At 44.2% G+C, this 23,719-nt stretch overlaps 1 protein-coding gene across 2 annotated transcripts in view, besides 1 other annotated feature; it reads right to left on the bottom strand.

Annotated features, from left to right (window-relative positions):
• ADORA2B (adenosine A2b receptor) overlaps window positions 1–23,719 on the bottom strand; it is a 125,385-nt gene that overhangs the window by 87,809 nt on the left and 13,857 nt on the right. The window lies entirely within an intron of this gene.
• Window positions 5,698–6,197: an enhancer, noted in NCBI's record as "H3K4me1 hESC enhancer chr17:15785055-15785554 (GRCh37/hg19 assembly coordinates)". NCBI's record gives its function as "activates a minimal SCP1, AML or CMV promoter by ChIP-STARR-seq in primed H9 embryonic stem cells {active_cell/tissue: H9 hESC(primed)}" and the evidence as "EXISTENCE:reporter gene assay evidence [ECO:0000049][PMID:30033119]".

The following is a 23,719-nucleotide window of genomic DNA, read 5'->3' as shown; positions in this document are numbered from 1 at the left end:
TCTCTGTCGCCCAGGCTGGAGTGCAGTGGCACGATTTCGGCTCATTGCAAGCTCCGCCTCCCGGGTTCATGCCATTCTCCTGCCTCAGCCTCCCGAGTAGCTGGGACCACAGGCGCCCGCCACCAAACCTGGCTAATTTTTTTTATTTTTTTTTAGTAGAGACGTGGTTTCACCGTGTTAGCCAGGATGGTCTCAATCTCCTGACCTCATGATCCGTCTGCCTCAACCTCCCAAAGTACTGGGATTACAGGCGTGAGCGACCACACCCAGCCTATCTTTTAAAATTTAAAAAAATGCAGACCTCCTAAACCCACTCAGTTCAATGTCATTACTACTCTGAAACACGAGCTGCAGGCGCCATGCTCATAGCTGTTTCCACTGTGTCTTCCCTTCCGCAATGCTAGGGTGGGCAGAATGACGTGTGAAGGGGGCCTTCATAGCACCTTTCCAATCAGGCAGGGCAACCTGCCTTCATCAGCACTCTTTCTTTAAACTTTCTTCTTGTTTATTCTTCCAGGTGAATTTTTAATTATTTTGTTAAGTTCAAGAATAAAGAAAGTCTGTTGGGATTTCAACTGGAGATTAATTTGGAATAATTTGCTTTTTAAATGGTTCCTCTCACTATCTGCACTGACGGCACTTGGGGTTTGAGACTGGGAAAGAGGAGACAGTGACCACGGTGAGCTGGTCCAGGAAGCAGTGCCCTTCCCTTTACTCCTCTGTGGGCAAGAGCCTTCCCATGGCAAGAGGACGGCTGCGTCCCAGAGATGTTCAGGCAGATGCTGCACAGCCTCTCCCTGGAGACAGAATCACAGGAGATTTACATCTCAGGAGTGGCTGGGCCCTATCTTTCTTACTTCCTCTGTTTTCATTTGACAGACACTCAGGAGGCCCCACCCGCAGCATTTCCTCCCTGAGGTTCCCTGGCTTTGGCATCGTGACACAGGGTCTGGTTGCCTTGCAAGCACGGGCCAACACCTCCTGCCCCCTGGCTGGGTCCACTTCCTCTGGCCCACCAGCAGCTCAGGCAGTGCTGGCCCTGCACAGCGCCTGAAGGCAGGCGAAACCCAGTGGCTCAGCAGGGGCCTCTGGTTCTTCTGTGGCATCCTGAGAGCAGGTCTTCTCTGTGCTCTCAGTTCAGGACCCACATGATTCCCTGCCATCTTCTGTCCCCAGGACCACACTCCAGGCCTCTGGACAAACACTTTCCTGGAATTTTCTTCCTCTCCTTTCTTCTGCCTTTCTGTTAAGTTTGCTACCTCATTTTCATAAATTCCACTCTTCTTCCTTGCTTGCTGCTTCTAAAAAAGGTCACAGCTATGCACAGCTCTGCTGGCTCCTCTCCTCGTGGAGTCACCCACGGTCAGTGGACTGGCAGTCCCCCTAAGCCCCACCCTGCTCCTTGCTGAGCATTTACCTGTGTCCAGAAGGTCCCCCAAGGAAACGCCGGAGACACCTTCTCATGAGCCACCTGCACGACTCACTAGTGGTTCAGCCCTCAAGGCTGGGAGTAGAGTCCACACAAACATTTCCAAAGCCCTCCATGCATGAGGGGCTGACAAGTACACCCACAGGGAAGTGTGGTTCTACTGCACGTGGTTCACCCATGCTGTGGCACAGGCAGGCAGGACAGCCTGAGGTTGGGGTGTACGGGAGGCAGGATGAATTCTGGGGCTTCAGGAAAGGGCGAGCCACTACAAGATTCCTCATGGAGTTCTGGGAGCCTGGGAGACAAAAGTCTGGTTCTTTCTTTCTAATAAGTCCTCACTTAATGGCACTGAGAGGTTCTTGGACACTGTGATGTTAAGTGAAATGGTGATGTGCTGTGTGACGAAACCAGTTTCACTGTAGGTTAACTGATATGAGCCACAGTTGAGTTCCCATGGCTTATGGTATATGGTTTCACCCAAAGCTGCAGTTTCCAGGAACCAACTGGCCACGCTAAGAACTGAGCTGACATCAAATTGAATGAAGCCCCTGGCTAACCTAAATGTCCACTGCTCTAAAGAGTAACAAACCAACCCAAACTGTGACCAGCTCCTCCTTCTCTCATTAAAGCAACTCAGTGTGACTTCAGGAAAATGACTCAACTTTTCTGCCTTTAGTTTTCTCATCTCTCAGATGAAGTGGCTAGATTAAGTTAGTGGTTCTGAAATAAACAGTTATGAAAACTGTTCTTCCAACTTCACATTTCTGCAGAGGTTTTTTTTTGTTTTTTTTTTTTGATACGGAGTCTTGCTCTGTTGTCCAGGCTGGAGTGCAGTGGCACAATCTCGGCTCACTGCAACCTCTGCCTCCCAGGTTCAAGCAATTCTCGTGCCTCAGCCTCCTGAGTAGCTGGGACTACAGGCACATGCCACCATGCATGGCTAATTTTTGTATTTTCAGTAGAGTCGGGGTTTCACCATGTTGGCCAGGCTGGTCTCGAACTCCTGACCTCAAGTGATCTGCCCACTTCGGCCTCCCAAAATGCTAAGGTTACAGGCGTGACGCACCACGCCTGGCCTGCAGAAGCTTTTTTAAAGGTAGGGTTTGCAAACCACAAAATCCAGTGATCCTTTATTTTACAACCTTCTGTCTATGTTTGACCTTGCATTGCCCCAAAGAACAGCCAGCAGCCACACGTGGCTATTTAAATGTTAAAATCTTAAACAAATTTACAAGAAGAAAACAACCCCTTTAAAAAGTGGGCAAAGTACATGAACAGACACTTCTGGAAAAGAAGACATTCACGTGGCGGAGAAACATATGAAAAAAAGCTCAACATCACTTATTAGAGAAATGCAAATAAAAACCAAAATGAGATACCATCTCACACCAGTCAGAATGGCGATTATTAAAAAGTCAAGAAACAATGGATGCTGGCAAGTTTGTGGAGTAAAAGGAATGCTTTTACACTGCTGGTCGGAGTGTAAATTTGTTCAATCATTGTGGAACACAGTGTGGCAATTCCTCAAAGACCTAGAAGCAGAAATACCATTTGACCCAGCAATCTCATTTCTGGGCATATACCCAAAAGAACATAAATCATTCTATCACAAAGATACAGGCATGCATATGTTCACTGCAGCACTAGTCATAAGAGCAAAGACACAGAATCAGCCCAAATGCCCATCAATGATAGACTGAATAAAGAGAATACGGTACATATACACCATGGAATTCTATGCAGCCATAAAAAGGAACGAGATCACATCCTTTGCAGAGACATGGATGAAGCTGGAAGCCATTATCCTCAGCAAACTAATACAGGAAGAGAAAACCAAACACTGCATTTTCTCACTTATAAGTGGGAGTTGAATGATGCGAACACATGGACACATGTGCGGGAACAACACATACTGGGGCCTGTATGGGGGCGTGGAGGGAGTGAGAGCACCAGGAAGAATAGCTAATGGATGCTGGGCTTATTCTTAATAAGAATTAAGATGGGTGATTTGTTGATCTGTGCAGCAAACCACCATGGCACATGTTTACCTATGTAACAAACCTACACATCCTGAACGTGTACCCCAGAAGTTAAAAGTTGAAGAAAAAAAAATTTAATAAATTTTAAAATTAAAATTCAATTTCTTAGTCACATTAGCCACCTTTTAAGTGCCCAGCAGCCACCTGTGGCTAAGGTTCAGCCAGCACAGATCTAGAACATTCCCATCATCACAGAAGGTTCTACAGGACAGCGCTGCCCTGCACTTATGCAAACATGCATGCATAGTTCCCCTCTTTTATGCAGATGACGGCAAGTTCTGCTCCCTTACCAAGATATACAGAGCTAGGTCCTTCATGACATCTGGAGGAACAGTTTCAGTGTGGAGGCCAAGGGACTGGATGCTGGGCCCAACAGCAGGAGTTCAGTCCCAGCTCTGACCCTTACTAGAGTGTGACTCTGAGCAGTCATGGAGCCTCTTGATGCTTTGGTTTCATATTCGTAAACTGGATATAAAATGCCTGACTCATGGGATTGTGGTCAAGACCAAATGCACTTAGACAATGTCGTTCACATGGTAAATATTTCATCACTGCTAGCTTTAATTCCGTCACCACTGCCTACTTCACTCTCTGATGACACATGCAGGTTCATCACATGGATGGAGACAGCAGGCATTTAGGGTGTTTCTAGTCTTGTTATCACAAACACTACTGCAATAATTATCCTCCTAAGCACGTCTCTACACACAGGTGGAATTCATTTTGACGGATTCTGCCAAATTGCCCTCAAAGAGGTTCTTCCACCTTAGACTCTGCCTCCCAACAACACACGTGTGACTGTGTCCCTCTACCATACGGCATGTGCCCTTTGATGACGGGCTTCTTTTTACTCAGCACAGGCCCATCCATGTTGTGGTGCATGTCAGCCATGATGCTTCTGCATCTACCCATCCACCTTCTTCTCTGAATACCCCAATCCCCATCATAATTCAGGAGTTGTGGGTTTCCTCCTCTCCTCCAGAACCACAGTTCTGGCTGAGAGACCACCTGCCACCATGGCTTGAAAACCCTTTGCAACTCTGTAGCCAGTGGAGTTAGACCCATATTCCTGGCCTATGTGGAGAGACATTAAGTCATAAGTTAATACACAGTTTTAGAAAACATGATTTTGTTCACATTATAATGTTCTAGCGCTCCAAAGAGAATATTTTTAGTAAGAGAAATTTTTTTTAAAGGAAACAGCACTTCTGTATTTTTGGATGTGCTTACTAAGAAAATAATATGTAATAATTAAAGAATTAGTTCTAAGGAATTTTGTTCCAAGATTAAGTTTAGTTTATACTAGAAAAGTAAACTTCAGCCCCCTGTTAACCTCTTATCCTTAGAAAGGCTGAATTCAGCCTCTAAAATCATAAGTGTCTTGTGGTGAAATTACTTCTCTTTCCCAAATGGACGATATTTCATGAGTAAGGGAATGGAAAAAATGCTCAGTGCAGATTCACTTGGGACTGTAATTATCTAAATAGGCTCACATGCTGTCCTGGGGGACGGAGAGGGAACAGCAGCAAATATCAAGGCCTCCTTTTTCTGAATGGTGACATGATGGCTTTGGTGTTGGGTGGTGTCATGCTGCAGCACCAGCTGCTGGCATATTTGACCTACTGAGTCAAACCTGAGACAAACGGCCCATGGGAGGAAAGACGACAAAGAAACTTAAATCACCCTCAGTCTCCAGAAGGAGGACACGTTCTGACAATATTTTATTTTGAAAATCCTGTTTTTCCTTCCTAAAGCTGGCATGACATCTAGTATTTCTATTTATATGGAAAAAAGTGTAAATGGGCAGTTTTGATATAGATACTTCCTTCAAATGACGCTGGAAAGCCAGAAAATGAGGCTAACTCATGGTAAGAACCTTTCTTTTGTTTTAGAGACAGGGTCTCACTCTGTCACCGAGGCAGTAGTGCAGTGGCATGATCATGACTCACTGCAGCCTTGAACTTCTGGGCTCAAGCAATCCTTCTGTCTCAACTTTCCAAAGCGTTGGGATTACAGACATGAGCCACTGTGCCCGGCCAAGAACCTTTAACTGGAGTCCAGTGCAGTCTCTAAAAGCCCACCTTGTGAGTCCCCTCACTTTCTCCCACATTTCACAGGAATTTGGCAGGTCAGAAGAGGCACAATGTGGGCCCTTAGCCTGCAGGGTGGCTGAGTTTCCGGTCTTCCTAGATGCTCCTCTCAGCCACCGGCCACCACCTCCAGGGGGCATGCTGGCCTCTGCTCTCCCTCCACAGCCCACTGGAGCCTCCGCTCTTATCCTCTGCCTCTGTTATCCTCTTGCCTCTAATTCTACAACCTTGATGAGTTGCCTTGATGATGGCCTGGAGCCCACATTGCTGGCAACCAAAACACTCTCCCCTTTTCCTTAAGGACACGAAGGACCTAATCTTCCCGTATTTCAGGTAGGTGGTAGTGAGGGCAGGGAGGGGAGCTGCGTTCCATGCCTCTGAGAAAAGGGAGGATAAATAAAACATCTAAGTACTCCTATTAGAAAAAGCCAGTCTTTCCACACAGGCCAGGATTATGGGTCTAACTCCGCTGGCTACAGAGTCAGTACAGGTTTTCAAGCCATAGTGGTAGGCGGTCTCCCAGCTGTGTTTCTGGAAGACACAAGGAAAACCACAACTCCTGAACTAGGATGGGGTAGGGGCTACGGAGAGAAGAAGGTGGACAGATGGATGCAGAAGCAGCGTGGCTGACACACGCCCCAACACAGATGGGCCTAAGGAAGCTGTGCTGAGTGAAATCAGCCCCTCATCAAAGGGCACATGCGGTGTGAGTCCACGTCTATGAGGTGCCCAGAATGGGTAAATTCAGAGACAAAGCAAAATGGTGGTTAGGGGTTGAAGACCGGGAATAGGAAGCTCCCTCCCCAGTGTTTAAAGCATACAGAGCTCAGTTTGGGATGATGAAAACATTTTGGAAATAGAAAGTAGTGATGACTGCACAACCATGTGAACGTGCTTCATGCCTCTGAACTGTACACTTAAAACAGTTAAAATGATAAATTCTTGTTATGTGTATTTTACAATAAAAAATAAATAAAGAGGCCGGGCGTGGTGGCTCATATCTGTAATCCCAGCACTTCGGGAGGCCGAGGCAGATGGATCACGAGGTCTGGAGGTCGAGACCATCCTGGCTAACACAGTGAAACCCCGTCTCTACTAAAAATATGAAAAATTAGCCAGGCGTGGTGGTGCACGCCCGTAGTCCCAGCTACTAGGGAGGCTGAGGCAGGAGAATCACTTGAACCCGGGAGGCAGAGGTTGCAGTGAGCCAAGATTGTGCCACTGTACTCCAGCCTGGGCGACAGAGAAAGACTCCGTCTCAAAATAAATAAAAATAAAAAAAGAAAAACCAGATCAAGAACAACAAGGCTAAAGGGACAGACCACGCCCCTCTTCATCAAAGCACCAATAAAAGGAGCTAAGTGAACTTCATTTGGCAAAAACGGATCCTCCCTGTGAAATTAGAAGTGTTTTCATTTAGCAGCATCATTTAAAAAAATGTTTAAAAAGTACTTTAAGCATATGCCCTACTTCGCAAGCTGGTAAGCAATCTTGCCCAATTAGGATGAAGGGTTTCCAGTTATCCCTTTAAATAGCTGCTAAGTAGTTCTGCTTGGCCATGTGGCTGTTTCTGTCCAGGGGAACCCTGGCGCTGCTAGGCTCAGTGTTGCAGAAGCGTCAGCTCACAAATCCAGGCAAGATCCCATGCGTGCTGGTGACTAGGCATCAGATGCCACAAAACGCTGGTGTGGATCCCTGAGCGGGCCACATCTGTCCTTCTCTGTTCACCCTGGTTTCTCACCGCCCTCACCCTTGTAGGCTGCTGTCCGACCCCAACTCCTCCAACTCACAGTGCTCCAGATCTGCTCTGGGTCTTTGGAGTCCCTCTTGCTCCCAGGCACAGCCCTGACTTTTGAGTGCTCCCCTGGCGACAGTGGCCAGTGGTCTTGGCCCTTGCCCAAGGCTCTTCCTCCATTCTACCCTAGAAAGCAGCCCTGGCAAGAGCACCTGGGCCCAGACCCTGCCTCCAACTCTGATTTCTAACCTCAAAACATAGATGGAAACAGTAATATTGGTATTGCAAAATGTATACTTCAAGATTAAAAGGACTAACTAAAATTAAAGGTAAAAGCCACCACCAAGAAGATAGGGCTAGAAACCTTTATGTATGGTTCGACATAATCTCTTAGAAATCAAAGCTTTTTACACAAACCACAGTTCAGAGGAAGAGACTTCAACACATCCGACTCAGAATTCAGCAGATCAAGCGGCCACAGGGGATGAGAGACACTGGATCTGCCACTGAGGCACCGGGGTCGATGGCGGGCCTCAGACCACTCACACCCTGAGCCCCGAGAACAGGAGGAGGCCTAGCCTTACTTCTGCACAACTAACAGGTCCTTTCAGAAGACTTTCACCAAAACAAGGGTATCAGTCCCAGGGAAAACTTCAGTCTTCACTGTTAGAGAACACAAAAATTGTCTGGAACTTTTAAATGAGAAGTTTCCCAACTTCCAAGCAATTTTTTTTTTTTTTAAAGTTTCAAGTTTTCGTTTGTCAGACTGGAGAGTCAGAGTCTTATAACCAGAGTATAAAACATCTTTGGCCGGGTGCGGTGGCTGATGCCTGTAAACCCAGCACCTTGGGAGGCCGAGGCAGGCGGATCACAAGGTCAGGAGATCAAGACCATCCTGGCTAACATGGTGAAACCCCGTCTCTACTAAAAATACAAAAAATTAGCCGGGCGTGGTGGTGGGCGCCTGTAGTCCCTGCTACTCGGGAGGCTGAGGCAGGAGAATGGCGTGAACCCAGGAGGCGGAGCTTGCAGTGAGGGGAGATCGTGCCACTGCGCTCCAGCCTGGGTGACAGAGCAAGACTCCGTCTCAAAAAAAAAAAAAAAGAAAATCCTTTGGCTGAGAATTAATTCTGTCACCAATACTACTAGAGAAGGCAGTAAAATAAATATTACTTTTTTTTTTTATTTTTTAAAGTCAGGGACTCACTCTGTTGCCCACACTGGAGTGCAGTGGCATGATCACAGCTCATTGCAACCTTGAACTCCTGGGCTCAAGCAATCCTCCCACCTCAGCCTCACAAGTACCTGAGACTACAGGCATGTGCCACTATGCCCAGCTATTTTTCTAAAACATTTTTGTAAGAGGAGGTCTTGCTATGTTGACCTGATTGGTCTCAAACTCCTGGCCTCAAGCGATTCTCCCACCTTGGCCTCCTAAAGCCCTGAGATTATAGGTGTGAGCTACTGCACTTGGCCCTTATTGCATTTTTGACTATATAAAAAGATGATACAGGATTTTAGAGCTCACTAACATCGTAACTAAAAAAATCAGGCCTTATTAACACAAAACTTTATTTATACTTAAAGCAAGCAACCACAAGCCAAATGTCTCTTCATCAATAAGAGTTATAAAAAATAATATGCTTCATATTAAATATTAACCATAATCAAGTAGAGATTTCCCACAACAGTAATACACCATAACCAAATTGGAATTTTGCCCCCAGATATGTAAGAATTTTTTCCTACTAGAAAATCTATTTATGCTATTAATTACATAAATAAGTTTAAAAAGAAACCATATGAATAGCTCATTAACTGCCAAAAAGGAATTTGCTATAATTCTTATCTATTTCTGGATTTAAAAAAACTCAGTAAATTCAAAACAGATGTAAGCTTCCCTTAATTGATAAACTATTCATCAGAAAACAATACAAAAATCTTAAAGATATTGCTATTAATGGAAAATAAAACAAGAATGTCCAGCATTAATAAGTATTAGTTGTTTCAGACTGTCATGAATGCAATAAACCCAAAAAAGTACAAGAGGTATAAATATTGGAAAGAAGAAATAAAATTATTTGTAGTAATTTATCTGGAACACCAACAAGTATAATGAAATAATGAAAAATGCCAGGGCATAAAAATCATGACGACAATGCATATCACAGCACTGGCTGACACTCACAGGGCCCTGGCTGGGACCCAGGATGTTGTGCCGCATTCAGATCATGCTCTCATTTCTCTGCTCAGCAGCAACCTGTGGCAGAGCACCAGACCCACAGAGCCACAGAAGGGAACAGCAAGTCCAGACACCACTCAGTTCCCATTCATACCTAGGACTATCAGGTAGTTCAAGAGAGATGATGAAATAAGTGATGCTGAAATAAATGGCCATCCAGAACAAAGGAGTATGTGTATTTATATAATGTGTGTGTGTGTGTGTGTGTGTGTGTGTGTATACACACACACACACACACAAAGGATATCTGGAACCTCTGTGACAGATATGATTAATATCCTTCAGGAGAAACGAATAAAGCGCTCTGAGGCCTCCAGGCAGATAGCAATGAAACGCATGCACTCACAGTCTCATTCCATTGTGAAGCCCCACGAAACCACAGAAAGGAATTTCTTTTTTTCCCCCAAAAGCATTAACTGACAACGAAAAAGAAAACAGGAAAGAAAATAAAACTTGGCAGCTGAAAAGTTGATGGACAAGAAATAACTAACATAACAGACCTAAGCAAACTAAATCCCAAGCCAGCAGTGGGGAAGGGCAAAGACCTGACTATGGTACAAAATCCCCCAAAGGCTCAGGAAATTTGTGGCAAGAGGTGCTTCAGGTCGGGGGATGAAGGTGGTTAAAAACAGGAGGACTGGGTTAGAGATGTGTTCACAGAGCAGCCAAAGCTCCAGACACTCTCTCTTCCCTGCACACCAGAGTATAAAATGAAGCCTCTGGACCAGGTGGATATTGAGCAGTTGAGGCACAAGTGATACACTGAAAACAAGGGAATTAAACGAATTTACAAGGTGAGGGCTGAGATAGTCATTCTCCACCCCCAGGCCTCTTCTCTGACTGATCCCATAATCCTGGCTGCCAAGTCTAAGCCCTCAAGCAGGAGACTGGAAGGCCCTTCTCTGGGGAATGGATGAGCCCAAGAGGAAGGACCTAAAGACACTGACATCAGGAGCTTGTCATGGACATGCCACAGGAACAGCTCTCTACTATGAAGACCATAGTTGCAGGCCGCATACACAGGCCCAGGCAGGGGTCAGCTTTGCAGAGCCTCCACCTAAACATGAGCAGTCAAACCTCAAGCATAAAGATAGAGAACTAAAGATACCAGTGGAACAAAGGAACTGTAGGAAACAACCCAGGTAGGGAGATTTGGTGATAGAATCAACCTACAATCTTCAGCGAAATTCGTATGTGACATTACATCTAGAAAACAAGAACAGGATGCTATAAAAAACTGAGGGAACAAAAAAATCCTAGAAGTTAAATATATGATAGCAAACATATATGATGGAATTTTATTCAGCCTTAAAAAGAAATGAAATTCTGACATGCTATAATGTGGATGAACCTTGAGGTCATTATGCTAAGCGAAATAAGCCAGACAAAAAGGACAAATACTATATGATTTCACTTACATGAGGTACCTAGAGTAGTCAAATTCATAGTGATACAAAGTAGAATGGTGGCTGGGGGACAAGGGGAATGGCAGGTCAGTATTTAATGGGTAACAGTTTCAGTTTTGCAAAATGAAAAAGTTCTGGAGATTGGTTACACAACAATGTGAATATACTCAACAATACTGAACTGTACACTTAAAAATGGTTCAGATGGTAAATTTTATGTTATACGTATTTTGCCACAATTAAAGTAAGAAAACTGAAGTGATGCAAAAACAAAAAAAAGATAGCAGAAATGAAGCATTTAATAGAATTTGGAAGATTAAACTTAGGGAAGCCTCAAGTTTAATCCCAGAAAACAAAACTATAAGGCAAAGAGACAGAAAAACAGGAGAAAAAAATATGATAATTAGGGGACCAGGGTAAAGGGAGTTCCAGAAAAAGAAAACAGAGTAGAAGAAATTACCAATGAAATAATTCCAGAAAATAAAGACATGAATTACTGTATTGAAAGGGTGCAGTGAGTGACTAGCATGACAAAAAAAAAAAAAAAGAAAAAAGAAAAGAAAGAAAGAAAGAAAAAAAAAAGACCTTAAGCTATACAGCAAGGCAAACCACACTGGAAGTTTAGAATCCTGGCAACAGCCTGAACCTCCTATGAGCTTTTGGAGAGAAAAAAGTCACAAAGGACTGGAATTATTTTCTTCTTGCTGCAACACTGGCAAATAGAAGACAATGGAACAATTCCCACAAAATTATAAAGGGAAATAGTTGCTGACCTAAAATGTTATACCCAAGGAAACCATCAAGCATTAGGGTAAAACAAAGATGCAAGGCCATAAAATTTTACCTTCTATGAACCCATTCTCAGGGAGATACTGGAGGAAAAAAAAAGAAAAAGAATAGGATGTAGGACACAGAAGATCAAAAAAGAGAGAGGCAAAGAACTAACAGGGAATCTGTGCACCAGGCACAGAGGGCAGCCATGATGGAGGAGGTCAGAGGCTCCAGAGAGATCTCAAGATGACACTGCTGTGATCCCTGACCCCTGTGATATGTGGGGATATCTCACAAAGAGTTGGGGTTGAATTAGTGACATTTACATAGAAAACTAAGTAAACAGGCTGGGTGTGGTGGCTCACGCCTGTAATTCCAGCACTTTGGGAGGCCGAGGCGGGTGGATTACCTGACGTCAGAAGTTCGAGACCATCCTGGCCAACATGGTGAAACTCCGTCTACTAAAAATACAAAAATTAGCTGGGTGTGGTGGCATGTGCCTGTAATCCCAGCTACTTGGGAGGCTGAGGCAGGAGAATCACTTGAACCCAGGAGTAGGAGGATGCAGTGAACCGAGATCGTGCCATAGCACTCCAGCCTGGCGACAGAGTGAGACTCCGTCTCAAAAAAAAGCAAAAGAAAACTAAGTAAACAGACAAAAATAATTTTAAGTGGAGGGTGAATAAAAGGTTGTGTAAAAGAAAAAGCAGCAGCAGTGTATACTACTACATGGCTAATCTATGAATGACACTCACAGCATCTTAATGTGAACTCCAGGTACACAAAACCACAATGAGAGAACGCAAAGACAGGAAGCACGGAGGCTGGGGGCTGAAAAGAAATCCTCATCTTTCACAGTAGGAGATCAAAATATAACATCTAAAATGAAAAACTAGAAACAGCAGTGATAAGCATGCTATTTAGCAATGTAGAGGTAAATGCCAAAAAAATCAGCAAGGTGACTTGAAAACGCTTGACTATGGGGAGCGGGAAGCAGAGCTCTCAGGCCAGGCTGACCGCTTTGCTCATCAGGATCTCTGCAGACTTGATTATGGGAACACAGAGCTTTCTTAGAAATAAAAAACAACACAAAACAAAAAACTGTTACAAATTTTGAGGAAAAAAGAAGAACATGCAAACAGAAAAGCAAGCAAAGCAACTGTACTAGTAATTCACAGAAGAAAGATGTAAATGACTAACAAACTGATAAAAAGTGCTTCACTTTCATCCACAATGAAGAATTAAAAGGAATGCCATTTTCTCCTCTTAGGCTGAACAAGATCAAATATGTATCCAGTATTGGGAATGTGTATAATCTTGCACATTGTGTAGAGAAGCGTAAACTAAATAGCCTTACAGGAGAGCAATTTGAGAATATATATTAAAATGGAAAGTATAACACAACCTTTTGCAAAGCAAATTCACTTCTAGGAACTTATTTTACAAAAATTTAGCAGTATTTCACAACTATTTAGCACAAGCATAAAAAGGCACGATAAGTGATATTCATCATTATGGCCATTTTTTATCCCCAGAGATGGTGTCTCTCTTTGTTGCTCAGACTGGAGTAGGGTAGCACGATCACAGTTCACTGCAGCCTTGAACTCTTGGGCTCAAGTCATTCTCCATCTTTAGCCTCTTAAGTAGCTGGTACTACAGGTTCATGCCACCACGCCTGCTTATTATTTATTTTTTTTTTTGGTAGACACAGGGTCTCATGATGTTGCCCAGGCTGGTTTCAAACTCCTGGCCTTAAATAATCTTCCCATCTTGGCCTCCTAATGTGCTGAGATTACAGGGGTGAGCCACTGTGCCCAGCCACGACACTTTTAAAAAATAAGGTAAAATACATATATTTTAATTTTATTTTATTAAAAAAAATTAATCCCCCTCCCTACCTTTCCCTTATGAGTCTCTAAAGTCTACCATACCACTCTGTATGCCTTTGCATACCCATAGCTTAGCTCCCACTCATGAGTGAGAACATATGATTTTTGATTTTCCACTCCTGTGTTACTTCATTTAGAATAATGGCCTCCAGCTCCATCCAAGTTGTTGCAAAAGACATTATTTCATTCATTCCATGGTGTGTGTGTGTGTGTGTGTGTATGTATATATGTGTGTGTGTGTATACATATATATACATATATATATATACACACACACATATATATATATATATACACATATATATACAGTCACATTTTCTTTATCCACTCATTAGTCAATGGGCACTTAGATTGGTTACACATCTTTGCAACTGTGAATGTGCTGCTATAAACATGCATGTGTGTCTTTTCCATATAATGACTTCTTTTCCTTTGGGTAGATACCCAGTAGTAGGATTGTTGAATTAAACGGTAGATCTATTTCTAGTTCTTTAAGGAATAGCCATACTATTTTCCAAAGAGGTTGTATTAATTTACATTACCACCAGTAGTGTATAAGCGTTCCCTTTTCCCCACATCCACGCCAACATTTATTGTTTCTTGACTTTTTAATAATGGCCATTCTTGCAGGAGTAACGTGGTCTCTCATTGTGGTTTTATTTTGCATTTCCCTAATGATTAGCGATGTTGAGTATTTTTTTCACATGTTTCTTGGCCATTTGTATATCTTCTTTTGAGAAATGTCTATTCATATCCTTTGCCCACTTTCTGATAGGATTACTTGTTTTTTACTTGCTGATTTGTTTGAGTTCCTTGTAGATTCTGGATACTAGTCCTTTGTTGGACTGTAGTTTGCAAATATTTTCTCCCATTCTGTGGGTTGTCTGTTTACTCTGATTATTATTTCTTTTGCTGTAAAGAGCTTTTTAGTTTAATTAGGTCCCATTTACTTATTTTTGTTTTTGTTGCATTTGCTTTTGGGGTCTTAGTCATGGATTCTTCGCCTAGGCTGAAGTCTAGAAGAGTTTTCCAAATTGTCTTCTGAAATTTTTATGGTTTCAAGTCTTATATTTAAGTCTTTGATACATCTTGAGTTGATTTTTTGTATAAGTTGATAGATACATAAATCAATAAATGTGACATCGCATAAACAGAATTAAAAACAAAAACCATATGATCATCTCAATAGATGCGGAAAGAGCATTCAACAAAGTTCAGCATCTCTTTATGATAAAAGCTCTTAACAACTAGGCATAAAAGAACTTGCCTCAAAATAATATATATGTGGATATATGACAAACCCACAACCAGCGTAATACTGAATGGGGAAAAGTTGAACACATTCCCCATGAGAACAGGAACAAGACAATGATGCCCACTTTCACCAATCCTATTCAACAGTTCTGAAACTCCTAGCCAGAGCAATTAGGCAAGAGAAATAAATAAAGGGTATCCGGATTGGAAAAGAGGAAGTCATACTATCTCTATTTGCAGATGATATGATCATATACCTAGAAAATCCTAAAGACTCTTCCATGAGACTCTTAGATTTCATAAACAAATACAGTCAAGTCTCAGGTTACAAAATCAATGTACACAAAGAAGTAGCACTGCTATACACCAACAACGACGAAGCTGAGAATCAATCAAGAACTCAATCCCTTTTACAGCAGCTGCAAAACAAAAACAAAAACAAAAACCTAGGAATATACTTAACCAAGGAGGTGAAAGATCTGTACAAGAAGAACCACAAAACACTGCTGAAATTATAGATGACACAAACAAATGGAAACACATCCCATGCTCATAGAATCAACATTGTGAAAATGATCATACTGCCCAAAGCAATCTACAATCTGCTGAATGAAATTCCCATCCAAATACCATCATTTTTCACAGAATTAGAAAAAACAATCCCAAAATTCATATGGAACCAAAAAAGAGCCTGAATAGCCAAAGCGATCCTAACCAAAAAGAACAAATCTGGAGGCATCATATTACTGGACTTCAAATTATACTAGTTACCAAAACGGCATGGTACTGGTATAAAAGACCAATGGAACCAAACTGTATATTTAAACCAGTTTAAAGTGTATAGTTCAGTGGCTTTTAGTACATTCCCAATGTTGTGCGACCATCACTAGTCCAGAACATTTTCATCACACAATAGAAAACTGTACCCACTAAGCAGCCACCCCACTCTCTATTCCCCTCTCCCCTCAGCCCCTGGCAAACACTCATCTGCTTTCTGTTTCTGTGGATTTGCCTATTCTGGATTTTTCTTATAAATGGACTCGAACAAGATGTAGCCTTTGCACCCAGCTCTTTCACCTGGCATCACGTCTTCAGCGAACATTCATACTGCAGCCTGTGTCAGTGCCTTACTCCTTTTTAAGGCTCAATAAAAAGCCCATGTTCAATGATCAGAGGGAGGACCTACAGGACGCAGCATGAAGTCATGGCCACAGCTATGCACAAATTTATTACAGTGAAAGGACACAAAGCCATATACGCAAAGGGAAAAGGCGCAGGGCGTTAAGTCCAGAGGCATGAGCTTCCAAGAGTCCTCTCCAGCAGTCACGGGCACGTTTAATTCCCCCAAGGAATTAATTAATTAATTAATGAGGGAAGCTCATTAGGGACTCTGCATCCAGCGTTTTTATCAGGGGCTGGTCACATGGGCCCCTTCTGCCCAGCATATACCACATTCCAGACTCCTCACAGATAAGCCGCTGTTCAGCACAAACCACGTGTTTGCACAAACAGTTTCAGAACCGTGAGCCCCTCTCATCAGTTCTGGGAATGGTGTGAACCCTCCTGTAATCCTAGTTCTCAGACTCCAGCCAAGGGCCAGCCTTGCAAGCAGCCTTGCTAAGGAGAGCCATCCCAGGCCTCCTGGGTTAACTATTTTCTGCACAGAGGCAAAAACATGCCTGCCAATAGCATCTGGGCTTTGTATTTTAAGGTGATCTTACTCAGTTTTATTTCCAAAATTCCCGAGGAAGAGGCTGATGGGCCCAGCTTAGACTTGTTGGGGCTACTTCTCTGGTGTTTGTGTACATTAAAGTGGGAGAACGCGTCCCTCCCCATCTGCTGTGCGAACAATCTGACAGGTCTCTACACTGTTTGATATTTTTGTTCAGAAAGCCATTTTTATTCCTCATAGTTTCATACCTCTGGGAGTGCACACACCACTAAGAGTGGGAGCGGGTGCCCCAAAGCACACTGGCTCATGACAGAAAACCAACTAGAAACATGGCCATCAGGAGAGGACTGTGTCTCCCACAACACGGGAGAGCCCTTCGTCTTTATTTTCAAACAAACTCCACTGTTAGGTTGTAGCACAATGCCTGTGCCACTTCAGAAGCCACTGTGTCAGAAACGGCACAGAAGCAGGGAGAGCAGGTAGAAAAGGCCTCAATAGAGTGGAAGCCCACAGTGCCGCGCATCTGCTATTGGGGCTCTATCTTCACAACGAAGTCAGGGAAAGGACCACTCTGACGGCAATAAATAAGTCAAAGGATTTATGTTTTTTGAATTGTGCATGTAGCCCTCAAGAGACCTCTCTCAAAAAAGACAAGAAACAGAGCCCCAGGTGGGCTGGTATTTCAGGGGTTGCTTGCTGTTGGCTAAGCAGATTTTAGTGCTTGTCTGTGAGAACTCAGAGACAGAAAAACAATTTGCCTGCAACGTGGGTGTTCTTTCCAGATTTAAAACAAGATTCAGTTTGGATAACACTCTTGTCATCCAGGATGGAGTGCAGTAGCGCGATCTTGGCTCACTGCAACCTCTGCCTCCTGGGCTCAAGCTATCCTCCTGCCTCAGCCTTCCAAGTAGCTGGGACTACAGGTATGTGCCACCACAATCAGCTAACTTTATTGGTATGCCCAGCCTGGTCTCGAGCTCCTGGGCTCAAGAGATCTGTCTGCCTTGGCCTCCCAAAGTGCTGGGATTACTGGTGTGAGCCACCCTGCCAGGCCCCAAATAGGATTTGAACTACAGGAGATACTTGCATGTATCTTCATCTAAGGAACATGTGTATTAGGTTGGTGCAAAAGTAATTGCAGTTAATGGGAAAAAACGCAATTACTTTACACCAACCTAATATATATCTTCATCTAAGTAAATTTTTTCTATAAAGGGTCAAATTGTAAATAATTTCAGTTTGGTAGGTCATCTAACTGAAAAATTTCTGTTGCAACTACTCAGCTCTGCAGTTGCAGCAAAAAACAGTTCTAGAGAATATGTAAATGAATGTGTGGAGCTGTGTGCTTACGAAACTTATTTACAAAAACATGTGGTGGGCTGGATTTGCCATTCATCTGACTCAAGACTTAAATCTAGTTTAACAGTATCACTCACATCATTACTATTTCAAATTGCAAAAGCTTTGATGATATAAAATGATCACTTTTATTATCTTTATAAAATAAGAAGGGACCATGTCAAAATGAGAAAATTCTGAGTTATAACACAGTATATGCAATTCAGGCTAAGGGCATTTTTAGGTAAGCCACTTGGAAAAATGCCATTTTTCTGAAAAATGTTTTTATCACTCTTTTATGTGTGTATTTTAATTCAAAAAGTAACAGTTTAGGAATAACTAACTGACTTGTGAATTGTCACAGGGCTGTGAAGTGGGATAGCAGCACTGTGGATTGTGCCCAGCTCAAGAGGCCCCTCAGGTCCATTCCTGACGCTGTCATCCCAGGAGAGCACCCTCCTCATGGGTTTTATTTCTCCCTTTTAAATCTTTTCTCAGAAAGCATCTGGTTTAATTATTAGCCACAATACTTCTTCATGGCCTTTCCTTCAGATTTTCCACCTCCAAATTATAGGTCATAATATAACCTTTGATACAAAGAATATGCTTGGATTATGAATGACGATAACAAAATAAATACTTGTGAATCCTGCCTCCCAAGTAAAAACTAGATTACTAATAACTTGCATCTATCTCTTCTACTTTATTGTTTTGCTTCAATAATAATAATAATTATTATTATTATTATTATTTGAGATGGAGTCTCGTTCTGTCACCCAGGCTACAGTGCAGTGGCATGATTCTGGCTCACTGCCACCACTGCCTCCTGAGTTTGAGCAATTCTAGTGCCTCAGCCTCCCGAGTAGCTGGGATTACAGTTGTGCGTCACCACGCCTGGCTAATTTTTATATTTTTAGTAGAGACGGGTTTTCACCATGTTGGCCAGGCTAGTCTCGAACTCCTGACCTGAGGGGATCCACCCACCTCGGGCTCCCAAAGTGCTGGGATTGCAGGCATGAGCCACTGTGCCTGGCCTTCAATTATTTTTTAATATACAAAGTAATACATGTAAATTTTTTAAATTATAGTTTGATAATATTTATAATTTAAATGGCAGCTCCTACTCCACCCGATGTACTCCCTCCCAACATCTTCCTCATCCCTCTACTTAAGCCCTTCAAACTATATTTATTATTTTTAAATAAATAACTTATTGGTACATAAATCACACACCACAAAACATACCCTTTAAAAACGTGCTATTTGGTGGGGTTTTTTTGTATTTTTTTTTTGGAGATGGAGTCTCACTCTGTCGCCCAGGCTGGAGTGCAGTGGCATGATCTCAGCTCACTGCAACCTCCACCTCCTGGGTTCATGCCATTCTCCTGCCTCAGCCTCCCAAGCAGCCGGGACTACAGGTGCCTGCCACTACGCCCAGCTATTTTTTTTTTTTTTGTATTTTTAGTAGAGAACGGGGTTTCACTGTGTTAGCCAGGATGGTCTCGATCTCCTGACCTTGTTATCCGCCCGCCTCGGCCTCCCAAAGTGCTGGGATTACAGGCGTGAGCCACCACACCCGGCCATGAATAAACAATTTCTTATACAGAATACAAAAAGCACTAACCATTAGAGGAAAGACTGATAAATTAGACTTAATTAAAATTAAGAACTTTGTTCATCAAAAGAAGACATTTTTTTTTTTTAATTGATCATTCTTGGGTGTTTCTCGCAGAGGGGGATTTGGCAGGGTCACAGGACAATAGTGGAGGGAAGGTCAACAGATAAACAAGTGAACAAAGGTCTCTGGTTTTCCTAGGCAGAGGACCCTGCAGCCTTCCGCAGTGTTTGTGTCCCTGGGTGCTTGAGATTAGGGAGTGGTGATGACTCTTAACGAGCATGCTGCCTTCAAGCATCTGTTTAACAAAGCACATCTTGCACCGCCCTTAATCCATTCAACCCTGAGTGGACACAGCACATGTTTCAGAGAGCACAGGATTGGGGGTAAGGTCACAGATCAACAGGATCCCAAGGCAGAAGAATTTTTCTTAGTACAGAACAAAATGAAAAGTCTCCCATGTCTACCTCTTTCTACACAGACACGGCAACCATCCGATTTCTCAATCTTTTCCCCACCTTTCCCCCCTTTCTATTCCACAAAACCGCCATTGTCATCATGACCCGTTCTCAATGAGCTGTTGAGTACACCTCCCAGACAGGGTGGTGGCCGGGCAGAGGGGCTCCTCACTTCCCAGTAGGGGCGGCCGGGCAGAGGCGCCCCTCACCTCCCGGACGGGGCGGCTGGCCGGGCAGAGGGGCTCCTCACTTCCCAGTAGGGGCGGCCGGGCAGAGGCGCCCCTCACCTCCCGGACGGGGCGGCTGGCCGGGCGGGGGGCTGACCTCCCCACCTCCCTCCCGGATGGGGCGGCTGGCTGGGCGGCGGGCTGACCCCCCCGCCTCCCTTCCCGACGGGGTGGCTGGCCGGGCGGGGGGCTGACCCCCGCCTCCCTCCCGGACGGGGTGGCTGCCGGGCGGAGACGCTCCTCACTTCCCAGACAGAGTGGCCGCCGGGCAGAGGGGCTCCTCACTTCTCAGACGGGGCGGTTGCCAGGCAGAGGGTCTCCTCACTTCTCAGATGGGGCGGCCGGGCAGAGACACTCCTCACATCCCAGATGGGGCGGCAGAGCAGAGGAGCTCCCCACATCTCAGACGATGGGCGGCCTGGCAGAGACGCTCCTCACTTCATAGATGGGATGGCGGCCGGGCAGAGATGCTCCTCACTTTCCAGACTGGGCAGCCAGGCAGAGAGGCTCCTCACATCCCAGACAATGGGCGGCCAGGCAGAGATGCTCCTCACTTCCCAGACGGGGTGGCGGCCGGGCAGAGGCTGCAATCTCGGCACTTTGGGGGGCCAAGGCAGGCAGCTGGGAGGTGGAGGTTGTAGCGAGCCGAGATCACGCCACTGCACTCCAGCCTGGGCACCATTGAGCACTGAGTGAACGCGACTCCGTCTGCCATCCCGGCACCTCGGGAGGCCGAGGCTGGCGGATCACTCGCAGTTAGGAGCTGGAGACCAGCCCGGCCAACACATCGAAACCCCGTCTCCACCAAAAAAATACGAAAACCAGTCAGGCGTGGCGGCGCGCGCCTGCAATCGCAGGCACTCGGCAGGCTGAGGCAGGAGAATCCGGCAGGGAGGTTGCAGTGAGCTGAGATGGCAGCAGTACAGTCCAGCTTTGGCTCGGCATCAGAGGGAGACTGTGGAAAGAGAGGCAGAGGGTCCAGCTTTGGCTCGGCATCAGAGGGAGACTGTGGAAAGAGAGGCAGCGGCAGAGGCAGAGGCAGCGGCAGCGGCAGAGGCAGCGGCAGCGGCAGAGGCAGAGGCAGAGGGAGAGCCAAAAGAAGAAAATTTAAGGCACACTGGAAGAAGGTATTTGCCATATATGTATTTGACAAAGGACTTACATGGAGAATATATAAAGAATTCTTAAAAGCAATAAGGAAGAGAATGACATCTGATTCTTAAAATGGACAAAAGTTCATATGCTGTTTACAGAGCCAATACCCCCGCTCCCCACCACCAAACAAACAAAGTGGGCAAAAAACCTGAGCAGGTGCATCCCAAAAGGGACTATCCACATGGCCAATTTGCATATGAAAAGGTGCTCAATCTCCACTGCCAAAAGAAAAATGCAAATCAAAACCTCAATGAGACACTACTACACATTACCCACATGACCTCCAGTAAAAAGACTGATGCTACCAAGTGTTGATGAAAATGCACAGAAATTGACCTCTCATAAATTGCTGAAAAGACATAAATTATACAAATATTTCAGGCATCTGTTTGGTACTATCCTAGAATGTATGCATACCCTAAGGCCCAGGAATTCCATTCTGAAGGATGTAACCAACAGGAACAAGCACATATGTGTTTCAAGAGACATCGACAAGAACATAACAGCGCTATTCACCTTAGCCCCAAACTGGACTTGACTCAACGATCTATCAATAATAGAATGGGTAACTAAATAATGCTATAATCCTACAATGGGTTACTAAATGGTGAAGAAAATGAACAAATTACAGTATAGGTGACAACATGAATAAATCTCACTGATTCAATACTGTGTAAAAAAAAGCTCCCCTCCCTCTGTCTCTGTACAGGGGAGCCTCCATTTTCTGCCTTCTCCCATCCTTCTTGCCTATTAAACTTTCCGCTCCCTAAAACCAAAAAAAAAAAAAGATACATGCAAAATTACATAGTTTTTAAAATTCCATTTATAATAAAATTCAAATGCAAGCAATACTAACATAATATTCAGGGCTGCATACTTTTGTGAAAATCCATAAGGAGAATAATTGAGGACAATGGTTATCTTAGGGAGTAGTGAGGGGTTATGATGGGAAAGTTGTAGGAAAGGTCTGTGGGAGCTGGCGATGCTCTTCTTCTGGATGCGAGTGGTGACTGTGTGACTTTTCACTTCCTCATAGTTCAAGAGACTATCATTTGAGGCCAGGAGTGGTGGCTCATGCCTGTAATCCCAGGACTTTGGGAGGCTGAGGTAGGTGGATCACCTGAGGACAGGAGTTTGAGACCAGCCTGGCCAACACGGTGAAACCCCATCTCTAGTAACAATACAAAAATTAACCAGGTGTGGTGGCTCACGACTGTAATCCCAGCTACTCCGGAGGTCGAGGCAGGAGAATTGCTTGAACCCGGGAGGCAGAGGTTGCAGTGAGCCGAGATCACGCCACTGCACTCCAGCCTGGGCAACAGAATGAGACTCCGTCTCTTAAACAACAACAACAAAAAAAACACTATAGTTTATATTTTGTGCATTTTTATCTTTGTGTATAGTGTTTCACACGCACAAAAAACTTAAACTTATACCAGGTATTAATTCCTTTTCTGAACAGAAAACAGATACTGTCCTAGTAAACAAAAACTCTTTAAACTAAATGCAAACAACTCTGAAAGCAACAGAAAGAAAATATTTGGAGAAGTTTTGGAGGCTCATTTATGTAGGGCCTTTATATGAATTAGGCAAAGCACTCTTCTTTGGGAGTGTAATTTAGCAAAAGCTGTCTCCTTGGGTGGAGGCCCCACTACAGCATTCTTTCATGCATTCCCACTGATCACAAAACCCACACCACTACCTCACTGATGCCATACCCACTAACAGTCACGCAAAGAAAACAGCCATTCTATATTGTTCTTCGGTGCTCTCATAATGTTTAACCTTGCCTTTTACTTAAAGGATTACAGGAACTGGCCTTAGGAGATCCAAAATATCCAACCAAGGTTGCAAGTATCCCACCTCAGGAAGGAATGCTAAACAACTGATTCATACAGCCTTGCTGCCACTAACCAGAGCACCAGATGGCCCATTACTCAAGACAACCATTGCCAGCAGATAAGCCGACCCATGTCCCCTCCCCCTCACGTTCTCTACCCTGCCCAGCCCACATTCCCTACCTTGACATCAATTTCCGCACATTGCCTAATAAAAGAAATCCCTATCAGCTCATTTCAGGGAGTCAGCCAGAGAATCCTCCCTCTCCTGTGCTTCCTCCCTTGTGCCTGGGCATATGCTCCAATAAAGCCTTGCTAGGAAAACTCTTTTGGCCTGGTGAGAATTTCTATTGCATCAAGAGCCTAAGAACCCATGATCGGTAACACTTTGAGCAAAGGAAAAGGTCCCCCTTCCCTAGGGAGATGCAGCTCTGCATACACCCATATGTTTGGTGGGAGTGCAAACTGGCTTCCCGTTGCATATGCCTCTCTGTCTAGGAGAACAGAAAGATGATAATTACATGCATATTGGTCCACCAAGCACAGGCACACATGGAACAT

The sequence above is a fragment of the Homo sapiens genome, chromosome 17 (genome assembly GCF_000001405.40).
Source record: "Homo sapiens chromosome 17, GRCh38.p14 Primary Assembly".
Lineage (NCBI taxonomy): Eukaryota > Metazoa > Chordata > Mammalia > Primates > Hominidae > Homo > Homo sapiens.
This window is presented reverse-complemented; position numbering and strand designations above follow the sequence as displayed.